This window comes from Homo sapiens, chromosome 16 (genome assembly GCF_000001405.40).
Source record: "Homo sapiens chromosome 16, GRCh38.p14 Primary Assembly".
In the NCBI taxonomy this organism is placed as follows: Eukaryota; Metazoa; Chordata; class Mammalia; order Primates; family Hominidae; genus Homo; species Homo sapiens.
This window is the reverse complement of record NC_000016.10, coordinates 53,651,217-53,664,636: the sequence shown is the minus strand read 5'-3', so window position 1 is coordinate 53,664,636 and position 13,420 is coordinate 53,651,217. Positions and strand designations below refer to the sequence as shown.

At 35.3% G+C, this 13,420-nt stretch overlaps 1 protein-coding gene across 30 annotated transcripts in view; it reads left to right on the top strand.

The window, feature by feature from the left end:
* Positions 1-13,420, top strand: part of RPGRIP1L (RPGRIP1 like) — a 105,707-nt gene that overhangs the window by 39,223 nt on the left and 53,064 nt on the right. For 15 of the 30 annotated variants that reach the window (XR_007064862.1, XR_007064860.1, XR_007064861.1 and 12 more), the window contains exons 11-15: positions 5,759-5,865; positions 6,173-6,223; positions 7,005-7,184; positions 8,048-8,165; positions 11,650-12,102. Coding sequence is in view for 26 of the 30 variants with exons in the window: in NM_001127897.4 (NP_001121369.1) it covers positions 5,759-5,865; positions 6,173-6,223; positions 7,005-7,184; positions 8,048-8,165; positions 11,650-12,102 (909 nt within the window). In the remaining 4 variants the exon portion in view is untranslated. Of the gene's footprint in view, positions 1-5,410; positions 5,423-5,758; positions 5,866-6,172; positions 6,224-7,004; positions 7,185-8,047; positions 8,166-9,037; positions 9,110-10,644; positions 11,349-11,649; positions 12,103-13,420 lie in introns of those variants that run through there. The other 15 variants (XR_933260.4, XM_017023095.3, XM_005255868.3 and 12 more) reach the window with 4 other exon arrangements.

Sequence of the window (13,420 nt, the reverse complement as noted above, 5' to 3'; positions counted from 1 at the left end):
TTTTAATTGTTCAATTTTCCTAAATTCTGAGCCTTTCTTTACTCAACAGTTGAGAAGTATTTATTGAGCACCAGTTAGTGCTAGGTACTGTTCTAATTTCTGGGGATACAGCAATGAATAGAAACAAAAGTCTTTCCCTCATGAAATATGAATTTAATAGGGAGAAACTAACAACAATTAAATAAATATGTAATACGTGAGGTGGTGGCAAGTGTAATGGCACAAAAACTAGTGTAAGATGACAGAGAGTGGCAGAAATAGTAGCTTGCCGTTTTTGAGAGTTCGAATAGGGAAAATCTCTGATGAGATGTCTAATTCTACTTTGTGACAGTGACCTTAAATACCAGAAAGTTTTGTGCCCCATGCTAAAATAATAATCACTAATAAGTTTCAGTATAAGTAACAGATCTCATAGAAGTAAAAGAATTATAATTAAAGAAGTCTGAATTTTACTGTGTTACACACACATAGATATACACACAAATGCACAATAGGGGAAATGAATTATTTGCTTTAAGTGTTGTTATATCTGTTTGCTCATGCCCTAGATAAACCGAGTCATGTGCTAAGAAGGTTGCTGCTTTTGAAAACTTGCAATTCAGTTGCATGAGAATGTTTAAAAGTTTAATACATACTCACTAAAAAACAGTTACGTTTCTAGTTAGTATTCTTATGTTTTTATTTAGACCACAATGCCATATTTCACTGACTATAAGGAACATTATCTTTTCATATTTTAACATCTCTAATATTGAGTTGCATCTTATAAGTGATGGCATTTTTAAATTTCAGTGTGACCTTTTTTTCACATTTTAGCAAGTCTGAAATTGGAACACATAATCAATGGAGTCTTAATTTCAATGAAACACACTAGGGCAATGTTTATTCACCAAGTGACTACATTTGATGATAGATTTTTTTTATGACTTTTTCTTTAGAAGACTGTGAGTGGAATAAAATGGTGATGACAGGTTTTCTGACCTGGTGGATTTTTTTAAGTTTTCATGTCAGAAATACATACAGTTCCTGATTTTAACGTGCAGTATCAAATACCTAACAGAGTGCTTTGCCTTAGTAATTGCTCAATAAATTATTGTTTAGGTAAAAATGTGGAAGTGCTCTATATTCCCTCTCTCTTTTCCAAGAGCAGATAAATTGCCCATTCTTAAACGGAAAGGAAATGAAATAAACCATTTTTATTTCTGTGCTTTCTGTGTTTACTTAGATATCAAGAATCCTAAAGCTGTTATCTTTTGGATATCTGAACTGATCTTTGCAAAGAAGCTTTTCTTAAGGGGGGTAAAATCTTGGTTTTTTTGTTAGACCTGTTTATTGTCGTTGAATTAATTCTGAGGGTTCTTACTAAGTATTACAGTTCTTATTTTAATTTATCTAATTTATTCCTCATCTTTTTTAGTGGCTTTTTTATCATTTGGGAATTTTTTTTAATAATAAACATAACTCATGTACATTATGAAAAAGTCCAGTATGTAAATTAGAAAAATCAATCCCACAACCCACAAAATATTAGCAAAATAATCACTGCTAATATTTGATTTATGTCCTTTCAGAGTTATTTCTAAATGATAGATGTAGTTTTACAATGTGCTTTTTTTGCTATATTGTAAAATCATTCCTTAATATAAATCTACATCACAATCATTTATAATGGCTGTTACAGTTTTCCAGTGTGTGTATGTACCATGGATTATTTAACAATCTTCTATTGAATATTTAAATAGCTTCAGTTTAAGTATCATAAAACAGTATCTTTCCACACAAATTTTTACACATTTATCCGATTATTTTCTAAAGAAAAATTGCTAGAACTGAATCCTTACTTTTAATGCAACTATTACTTTCCAGTTATTTTTGTTTGAATACCTCAGATTTGCAAGTCTAAGGATTTAAGTTTTCGTTTCTTTGTGGGAATGTTACAATGGGTTATAAGAAAAATATTACAGCCTTTAACCATTTCTTCCAAGGAAATAATACACAAAAAAACCGAAACTGTCTATTTAAGAAAATCTTTTAATATTTAGAAAGCTCCATTTTGTATTACAGATTTTGAAACTGTTTAATTTTACTTTGAAGTGTCTTCATACATTTACCTTCTCATGTATCAAGTGTTCTTTGCCAGAAGATGTTTCCCTGGCTTCTTGTAGTCATTCATCTAACTGGCAAATTATTTTTAAAGAATACTCACCTCTTTATTCAAGGTACAAATTAGTTTCAGATTGTGTGAATATGTGGGGGAAGGATATGTAAATGCAGTTTGCATTTGGTTAATGCTTAAATTAACTGCATGTGTTTAAGGGCTTGCTTTTGAAAGTTCCTTTCTATCTTTAGCTGAAATGCATAATTCAGCATAATGCATATGGTTATATTGATCACAGCTGAAGATATTAGCACAAAGGCGCTCTGAAAATTGTTTAGTTGAATTGTTCTCTGCAGTCTGCTTATTAATGGTGTGCTGGAAGAACATAATTTTAAAAGAGTGAAATGTTATCTCATTTGAATAAAATGCTGTTTAGCTTGACCTGCTTTTTGTCAAATCATAAGGTAAGGAGGTTATTTTTCATCTTGTACAGAGTGCTTTGATTTTGCCTATTATAATTCAGCAAGTATATTTCCTCTTTGAACTATAGCATTTCAGTACTTTTTAAAGACCCAGGAGTTATGTCCCAAATAAACAGTTTGAGAAAGGAAAAATGTAGTGGATAATTCTAAATAAAATTCAGTAGAAGGTAAGTTACAGGTACTCAGTAATGTCTTCTCACACTAAGTTATTTTTCCACTAATAATGCCCTTGTTTAAAAAATATCAGTGAATGGAGATATCGTTGTTGAAACAACAGTTAGGAAAGGCTGGAAACATTTAAATAAATAAGTTTATTTCTACCTAATAACATATAGGAACCCTGCTCTGAAAAATTGAAAGAAAAGGAAAACCAGAACATAGAAATGATAATCAAAATACAGTGTGTCTGGATAAAGATGGAACAGTCATGCCCTTTACACTTTAGCTCACCCTTAGAAACCCTAAAATGTTTTACTGGCCAGAGAATAAAATTATATTATCCTCAGTACCTTTGTTTTTACATACTTCGGACTATATTTGCCTTCTTTTTGTTACCTAACCATTCTATCTAGATGTTGTTTTAATTTAATCAACATACAGAGTCCCACTTACTTATTCTATTCTCTAACAAAAAAGTTTATCTCATATAAATCCATATTTATTATTCATCTGAATTTTTAGTTTAAAGACAAGTATTTAACCTATACCTTCAAAATTTTTAAGTATTGTTCACATTTGGATATTCTTTTTTTTTTTTTTTGAAATGGAGTGTCGCTCTGTTGCCCAGGCTGGAGTGCAGTGGTGCGATCTCGGCTCACCACAACCTCCGCCTCCCAGGTTCAAGCAATTCTTATCCTGTCTCAGCCTCCTGAGTAGCTGGGACTACAGGCATGCACCACCATGCCCAGCTAATTCTTGTATTTTTAGTAGAGATGGGGTTTCACCATGTTGACTAGGCTGGTCTTGAACTCCTGACCTCATAATCCACCCACCTCTGCCTCCCAAAGTGCTGGGATTACAGGCGTGAGCCATCGTGCCCGGCCTGGATATTCTTTTCTTTAGTAAACTAGATATAAGCAATTTATACTCTAGGATAACCTTGTAACCTTCTATCAATAAGACAAAAGTGTTTATACAGTATATTTGATTTTTTTTTTTTTTTTTTAGATGTAGTCTCACTCTATTGCCCAGGCTGGAGTGCAGTGGCGCAATCTCGGCTCACAGCAACCTCTGCCTCCTGGGTTCAAGCAATTCTCCTGCCTCAGCCTCCTGAGTAGCTGGGATTACAGGCACGTGCCACCATGCCCAGCTAATTTTTGTATTTTTAGTAGAGACGGGGTTCACCATGTTGGTCAGGCTGGTCTCGAACTCCTGACCTCGCGATCCACCTGCCTCAGCCTCCCAAAGTGCTGGGATTACAGGCATGAGCCACTGCGCCAGCCTTGATGTAAAATGTCTCTGTATTGCCTAGGATCACAGGTTTTTTTTTTTTATTTTTTTATTTTTTTACTTTTTAGACTGCCAAGAATTATATGACATTAAAAACATCCAAATTTATTCCTAACTGTGTAATTTAACATTTTTATTTATATGTAGTATTTATAGCTTGAGAACACAATGCCTTATAAAAGTCAGAAACATATTTTTGTTTAAAATGCAGTCAGTATGCAAATGCCTTTGTGCAAAGAATTCTTGGCAAATGTGTTCATTTTTTTAAGAAAAGGAAACAAAAATGTACAACATAAATTGAAGACTTATGATAAACATAAATGGTTGAGAGCAGGATGAAATTGGTAGAGATACTTTAGATGACATGGCTTAGAGTTAGTCCACAGGGAGTCAACAAAGGAGGATACCTGAGTGTGACAGTGAGCTCTAGCAAAGAGTACACTTAAGTACGTGAGATTATCAAATACTGTGGATTTGTTCGCTAGCTATTATGCTTTTTTTAAAAAAAGCTAAACATGTTTAATGCAGGGAGTGAAAAATTAGTCTCTTTATGAATTTGCTATCTTCTAAATTCTACTCTACCCTCCTGCTTGTGGGTCATAGCAACTGAGTACCTAGACAAGCATAACCATTATTCCATTTCTTAGCACTAGCTCCAAGTCCATTCCGACTGATTAGTAGCATGAACTCAGTGAATAAAGAACACATATGAATTTATTTATTTTGGGGGGACAGAGTCTTGCTCTGTCGCCCAGGCTGGAATGCAGTGGCACAATCATGGCTCACTGCAGCCTCAACTCCCCAGGCTCAACAGATCCTCCCACCTCAGCCTCCCAAGTAGATGGGACTACAAGCATGCCCAGCTAATTTTGTTTTAATTTTTTTTTTAAGAGATGAGATCTCCCTGTGTTGCCCAGGCTGATCTCAAAACTCCTGGACTTAAGGGATCCTCCTGCCTCAGCCTCCCAAAGTGCTGAGATTATAGGCATAAGCCACGATGCCCAACCCATATGAATTATTATTGATACCACCATGCATGGCTTAAGAATCCAGTCCTCCTAATGTAATAGACCTGTTGGAAGTATGGTTGACTAAATACAGATTCAGAATTTCCTTACTTTTTAATTTTTTTATTATGGATTTAGAGGGTACAAGTGCACATGGGTATATTAGGTAGTGATGAAGTCTGGCCTTTCAGTGTAACCATCACTCGAATAATGTACATTATACCCAACAGGTAATTTCTCATCCCTCACCCCCCTACCATGTTCTGGAAATTACCTTGTTTTAATAAAAATACTATATGCTAAGTTGGGAAAATAAAATTCAAAGATGTCAATTAAAAAACTAAAAGACAATTTTTTTTCCACATGCTTTTCAGGAGCCTTAATAAGTAAGTAAAAAATCACAGATTTTGAAACACATTTTCTCAGGTATTTTAAATAGAACATTCCTTTGAAGTCCCAGAGGCCACAATTTCCTTATATTAATACTGTGAACTTATGTCTTGGGTTTTTGATGAGCAAGTGAATCATATGGTAGACACATGATAGTGTTCATTTATTCCTCATTCCCCTGCTGTCTTTGTCGAGGTGCTAGCTCAGTTTCCTTTCTGACCAGAACAATACTAGATCAAGACTGGTGTGGAACAGGAATTAAAGTAATTTGAAATGTGTCCTTAAACCTGATTTTTACTTACCTTTCCAATTGTGTGGACTTTATTTTTAAGATCAAAATGAAAAACTCGTTCAAGAGAATAGAGAACTACAGTTACAGTATCTGGAACAAAAGCAACAACTTGATGAACTTAAAAAACGCATAAAATTGTACAACCAGGTGAATTATTTCCTTATTTAAGAAATAAAACTCAGAATTTTTATCTCAATATTTTATGCATAGAGAAAGCACTATACTACAAAGCGAAAGCATACAGATATATTAATTACTCAGTTTATTAACTCATGCTATCAGGTAGTTTATGTTCCATAGGGACATTTTGAAGCACTGGAATGTCTTGTAGACTTAGTTTGTTAGTTCATGGCATCAGTCAGTTTATGTTTCATGGGGATAATTTGAATACTTGGAATGTCTCTTGTATTTTCCATTCATAACTCATTGTGAGCTTTTACTTAATCTATTGCAGGAGAATGATATTAATGCTGATGAATTGAGTGAAGCTCTCCTACTTATAAAGGTAAGGTTCTGAACTTCATCGTGATTTTCATGTCTGCATACAACTGTTTCAGCATAATGATGACCCTTATCTGTAACCCTTACATTTGGAGAATGAATTATTCTTGCATCTTCTGAAACTTAGTACATCCTTTACAAATATGTATGTAACATGTCAACACTACTAAGACTCAGGAAAGTGATCAGGTGACATTTAGTTATAGCATATACATATTTCATAATGACATCAAAGTTACATTAAACCAGACCTCAAAAACTCTCATTTAAAGCACTTTCTTTAATTATAACAAACGTTTTACTTTTATCTGCTTCACTATTTAACTCATCGATTTTCTGCCCTAAGAGACCTTGATGCACACCCTAAGTAAAATATTGAATTATAAATATCTCAAGAAGATAATTTTTAATTCTAGAATATTCTGTTATTTATAAGACACAAAAAAACACTTCTTTTACATCACAGCATAGATTTTAATCAAATGAAATAAAAATAAATGTACATGATTCTTTTATATGTCATAAAGTAACTATTTTTTGATTTCTCTATAACTGTTCCAATTGTCTATCCAAATATTCAAATTTGATTAACAGGTAAATTTCATTTTTTCCATCAGGAATGAAGCAGTCCTGATATATATATCAGGACTTCCTTTGTCTGTTTTCAATTAATGAAATTGAAAATTGATCAATCAATGAATTATTTATTGATACATCTATATTAATTCATAAAATCACATCTTAGAAATTTTTGTTTCAGTCATAAAACATGTTTTTTATTTTAGGCTCAAAAAGAACAAAAAAATGGAGACCTTTCCTTTTTAGTGAAAGTAGATAGTGAAATTAATAAAGATCTAGAACGCTCTATGAGAGAGCTGCAAGCAACTCATGCAGAAACGGTGCAAGAGCTGGAAAAGACAAGAAACATGCTAATTATGCAACACAAAATTAATAAAGATTATCAGGTAATGTAATACACTAAATGGGGAAAGTAAGTTTTCTATAATATTCTGATGATTTATTTTCTAAATACTGTATGTTATCACCTGTTATCTATTAACATCTATTGTAATCTACTAACATATCACATCTCTGGAATGTAGCCTTATAACTAGGTACTTAGTTAGAATAAATAGTTTTAAAACAAATAATGTGGGGTTTTTTTGGTTTTTTTTTTGAGACAGAGTTTTGCTGTTGTCACCCAGGCTGGAATCCAGTGGCGCAATCGTGGCTCACTGCAACCTCCGCCTCCCAGGTTCAAGTGATTCTCTTGCCTCAGCCTCCCAAGTAGCTGAGATTACAGGTGCCGCCACCATGCCCAGCTAATTTTTATATTTTTAGTAGAGATGGGGATTCACCATGTTAGCCAGACTGGTCTCTAACTCTGACCTCAAGTGATCCACCCACCTCGGCCTCCCAAAGTGCTGGGATTACAGGCCTGAGCCACCATGCCCTGCCACAAATAATGTTTTTAAAGTCCCTGATTTTAGGGAATGAGTAGTGGCAATGAAATCACCTTTGTTAGCTTTAGCACATTCTGCGAGTGAGTTATAGTTATCCTGAAGTCATGCCATAACTGTATTGTCTTAGCTTTTAACAAAATGAAAACACATCTCCATAAAAGGGAATCTGGAGTTTTATCTTTCTTCTGATTTGTGAATATTGCCAAGCATAATTTTCTAAAGTGTAAGCTACTTGAGGTCAGGAAACCATGGTTCATAGCTCCTACTATTTCCAGGATCTAGAAAATGCTTGAATCATAGTTGCTTTGAATAATGAAAATAGAACTAATCATAAGTATTAAAACTTATTTTCCCTTATTTTGTAGATGGAGGTTGAGGCAGTGACCCGTAAGATGGAAAATTTGCAGCAAGATTATGAACTCAAAGTGGAACAGTATGTTCATCTTCTTGATATCAGGGCTGCACGTATCCATAAACTAGAAGGTACAACATATACGATTTTTTGGTCCACAGTAACTAGAGGAATGGATTTTATAACAGTTGATAATGTCATCCAAATCTGCACTTACAGTGTATTTTTGCTGTGTTTACGCCTAATTCATAGCTAGCTCATGAATGCAGCTTTGACCTCCTGGGTTCCAGCAGTATTCCTAATTTTTAATTTTTTTGTAGAGCCTATGTTGCCCAGGCTCATCTCAAACTCCTGGGCTCAAATCGTCCTCCCGCCTCGGCCTCTCAAAGTATTGGGATTACAGGCGTGAGACACTGCACCAAGCCTTGATTCTTTTCTACTCAAGAATTTTTAGTAATTCCCTACTGCTTTTTAAATTCAGTGTTGCAAGCAAGATTTCAAATTACTTCATAAATTACTACAAACTCAAATTTACTACCACTTTTTAATTTCTCTTCTAAGCAACCTGTGCACCTCAGCCAAACAGGTCCTCCACCTGCTCTTTGCAGATATGTCATGCTCAGGCCCACTGCCATGCCTTTGTTCTTGCTGTTTGCTCTGCCTAAACCTCCTTTCTACCATGATTCCAAGATACACGCTTCCCTGCTTTGAAACCTAACATAATACTCACCTGTGCTAGGAAGCTGGTTCTAATTATTCCTAGCGATCCCTCTACTTGAAATGTCCTTACAGTGATTTTTAGACTTTAGCAAGTAGGAAAATCACTTGAGGAACTCGTTTAAAATGTAGTTTCCTGGGCCCTACCCCTAGAGGTTCTGGGGCCCATGCTTTTTTATATTGTATTTAGAAATAACTGCAAGCTATTCAGATGGAGGTGCAAGACTACATGTTGAAAAAAACTAGCTCAGCACTTACCAACCCAGTTTTCTTCTCATGCACTCAGAAGCTGTAAGTTTGGGGAGCATATAAGTGTTCTTCAGCTGTTGGAGTTTTGCATATTCTCCATAACCAAAATGTAAGTTCTACAGTGATAAGTTCTTTGTCTCTCTTTCACGTCCACGTCCACTACGTACCATATTTACTTCAGTGGTCTATGCCAGCAGTAATTTTACACTCTTAAAACTTATTGAGGTTCGAGAAGGCCTTTATTCATGAGTTATACTTAATTGATATTTATCATAACAAAAGTGAAAAAAATGTTTAAATATTTTTAATTTGTTAAAATAATAATAAACTTATTGCGTGTTAACATAAATTAAAGTACCTTTTTTAAGTTATATTTTCCAAAACAAAAAAATACTTCAAGAAGAGGGACATTGTTTAAAATTTTTTAAATTTTTAACATTTCGCAAATCTTCTTAGAGACTGGCTTAATAGAAAACAGCTGGATTTTTATATCTGCTTCTGCATTTAATCTGTTGTGATATCACACATCATGTAACCTCCAAGAAACTCCATTATACACTTGTGAGAGGATAAAAATGAAAAGGGCAGATTACACTTTACCATTATTATAAAAATAGTTGTGACCTCACAGATCCCCAAAATGGTTTCAGAGACCATCAGGGGTTTCCAAACCACACTTTCAGAAACTCTGATCTGGGCAGAAGAGCTCAATAAATATCTTTATCTGACGAAGCAGGGTTTTCCAAAAGTCAAGGAGCAATGTGTACCTTTTATTCCAAGTAGTACTCAATAAAAATTTGTTTAATGGAATTTTCTTGGTTAAAAGGGAGGTCACAGTGTTTGGGATTTTCATTCCTTTCAAGTTTTACTAAATTTTAACCATCATATTTTATCTGTCCCCTCAATTCATTGATTGACTCCATAAACATGATCAAGCCCCTAATGCATCCTAAGCAAAGTGCTGGGCAGGGAGAATACAAATAGGAAAAACTGAGGCACTACCCTCATGGAACTCCTAAGATGTTGACAAGTAAATAAATGGTTATGTTTTACTATGAAGAGTGTAAAGCTAAGAAAATCTAAAGGTATCAAGGAAACATTGAGGAGAGAATGCCTATTTCTACCTCAAGATTCAGGCAAGACTTCACACAGTAGGTATGGAGTCTTTAAAGATGACAGAATTCACTACTAAGTAAAAGTAATATAAGGCATTCCAGGCAGTAAGTAAAGCAGGGAAAGATGCCCTAAATATGACGTATTGCAGTACATTTGAGAAACTGCACTGTAGATCCATCCAACTGGAATTCAGGAAAGTCAAAAAAAGGAGGAGAACCTGGAGAGAAAGCTATAAGGAACAAAATTGTGAAGGCCCTGTTTTCACCCTGATTGATGAGGTAGAAGCTTATTAACCTGAAGAGCCAAGGCGGATGGATTACTTGAGGCTAGGAGTTCAAGACCAGCATGGCCAACATGGCAAAACCCCATCTACTAAAAATATTTTAAAAATTAGCCGAGTGTGGTGGCAGGTGCCTGTAATCCCAGCTACTCGGGAGGCTGAGTCAGGAGAATCGTTTGAACCTGGGAAGCAGAGGTTGCAGTGAGCCGAGATTCCGCCACTGCACTCCAGCCTGGGTGACAGAGTGAGAATCTGTCTCAAAACATACAAAAAAACAAGACAGTATGATACATTCTGTTTTGAATATGTTGTGTGGGATATCTAGATACATAGAGGGTTAAACAAAACTTTAGAAATATAGGAATGGAGTTGAGAAGATAAATATGAATTTAAAATAGTAATATGGAAGCCTTTAGCATATTAATAATGACAAAAGTCATAAAAGTTGATGAGATCACTCATGAGAATATGTAGACTAAGAAAATAATTAAAAACAGAAGCCCAGAAAACTAGCAGACGAAGAGAAATCCCAAAAGAATGAGAAGAAGGATAGGAGGAGAAGCAGAGAAGATGATGACATACATGGAAGTCCAGGTTAGACAGAGTTCACTAATGGGAGATTGTCATCAGTGTCAAATGTAGTAAAGAAATCAAGTAATACAAGGACCAGCGTTCATTGCGTCTAGCAATTAATTGATTATTGTTGGCTTTTTCTGGAGCAGTTTCACAGAAAAGCAAGGCAGATATTCACGTTGGTGATATTTGGTTGGCCTCTGTATATAACGGTGAAACCATCATCATGATCAGGATAATAAACTTATCCATCACCCCACGAAGAAGAAAAGTATAAATCTTAATAAGTTAAAGGAAAGGAGGCAGCAGAAAGAGAGACTGACTTTATAGGAGTGAAGACAATGGGTGGAGCAGAGACAGGGAAGCAGGTGAAATCCAGGTAGTTATCTCAGCTGTTCATTAAGAGCGCTTTTCTTCTTTTGATATTTTTCTCCCCTTTTTCCTGGCTTAGGCTATATTAAAACTGAAGTTGCAATTTTGTTGCTGCCTAATAAGTGATGTCAAAACAGAAATGATAAATTTTTGTACGATAAAGTATTATTTACAGAAAAACAGTGTAGTCATAGAATTTAAAATAGAGACTGTTCACCAGAAGTACTCATTCTTACACTTCAAAAGCCAGTTTTCATTTTCTCATGTCAATATTTTGAAATCTCTAAACTGTGTGTCTTCTCTTGCAGCCCAATTAAAGGATATTGCCTATGGCACCAAGCAGTACAAATTTAAACCAGAAATCATGCCAGATGACTCTGTTGATGAATTTGATGAAACCATCCACTTAGAACGAGGCGAAAATCTATTTGAAATCCATATCAACAAAGTAACCTTTTCTTCTGAAGTTTTACAGGCATCTGGAGATAAAGAGCCTGTCACTTTCTGTACCTATGCTTTCTATGATTTTGAACTACAGACAACTCCCGTAGTGCGAGGCCTTCATCCCGAATATAACTTCACTTCTCAATATCTTGTTCATGTTAATGACTTATTTTTGCAATATATTCAGAAGAATACTATCACCCTTGAGGTCCACCAGGCTTATAGCACAGAATATGAAACAATTGCAGCATGTCAATTAAAATTTCACGAAATTCTTGAAAAAAGCGGCCGAATATTTTGTACAGCAAGTTTGATTGGTAAGTACAATGTATAAGCCTTGGGTGTTTGAATTACTAATTTGGTTTATATATCGTTATGGTACTCTACATTACTATCTTTTCTTGTATATTAAAGGTGCCTTTAGAGCAAGGACAACATTCTTTACCCACAGTTAATTGGACTATCTTAAACGTCACTGATGCCGAGCACAGTGGCTCACTCCTTTAATCCCAGCACTTTGGGAGGCCGAGGCAGGTGAAGCACTTGAGGCCAGGAGTTCAAGACCAGCCTGACAAATACAGCAAAACCCCGTCTCTAGTAAAAATACAAAAATTAGCCAGGTGTGGTGGTGCATGCCTGTAATCCCAGCTACTTGGGAGGCTGAGGCAGAATTGCTTGAACCCGAGAGGCAGAGGTTACAGTGAGCTGAGATGGCGCCACTGCACTCCAGCCTGGATAACAAGAGCTTTCGCTCTTCCATCTCAAAAAAAAAATGTCATTGATGATGTCAGTACAATGGCTATTAATTTTTTAAAACTTGTAACTTCAGATGTTTATTGTATTGATACTCTTTTTGGCTAAATTATGTAATTTATTTATAAATAAATTAATTTATGTATTGAACTGTAATTTAAGTTCATAATAATAGTTTAAATTATTTATGGTTTAATAGTTATAACTATTATAAATAATAATATAAGCTATTTATGAAATTATTAATTTTTTAAGACCTTATGTTATCACTGTTAGTAGGCACTGGGAATATGGTGGTCAGTGGTAAATAAGACAGACAAAACTACCCCCTGTAGCTTACCTTCTAGAGAGGAATACAGGCAATACAGAACAGTTAATCAGAGAAAGAGGCTAAAGGGAGAAATGGCAGGTTGCAAATTCAGGTAAGGGCTTCTCTGAGGGGGTAAAGAATGAAGATCCATGCCAGGATCCAGGGAAAGAATGTTTCAGGCAGAGGCAATAGCAAGTGCAAAAACCTGAGGGAGGAGCAAGCCTGACAGTGGGAGGAACAGCAGTAAGCCCAGTGCCTGCAGCAAAGGGGGGATTCAAGTGATAGGCGGGGCCAGATCATATTGCAGAGCCTTGTAGGTCAGAGTGAGGAGTTTGGATTTTCTGAGCTTTTAGAAAAATCACCCTGAGTGCTGTGGAAAGAATAGTCTGAAGCAGGCAAGAGGGAAAATAGGACCGTTCTCAGGCTATTGTATTGATCAAGGAAAGACGATGGTGGCTTGGATTAAGATGGTAATGAAAGTGGCGATAAAAAGTAGTCATATTCAGTACATATTTTATTAACTTCTCCTTCAAGACTTGCTTATCACTTGAATGTGTGATAATGAGGGAAAT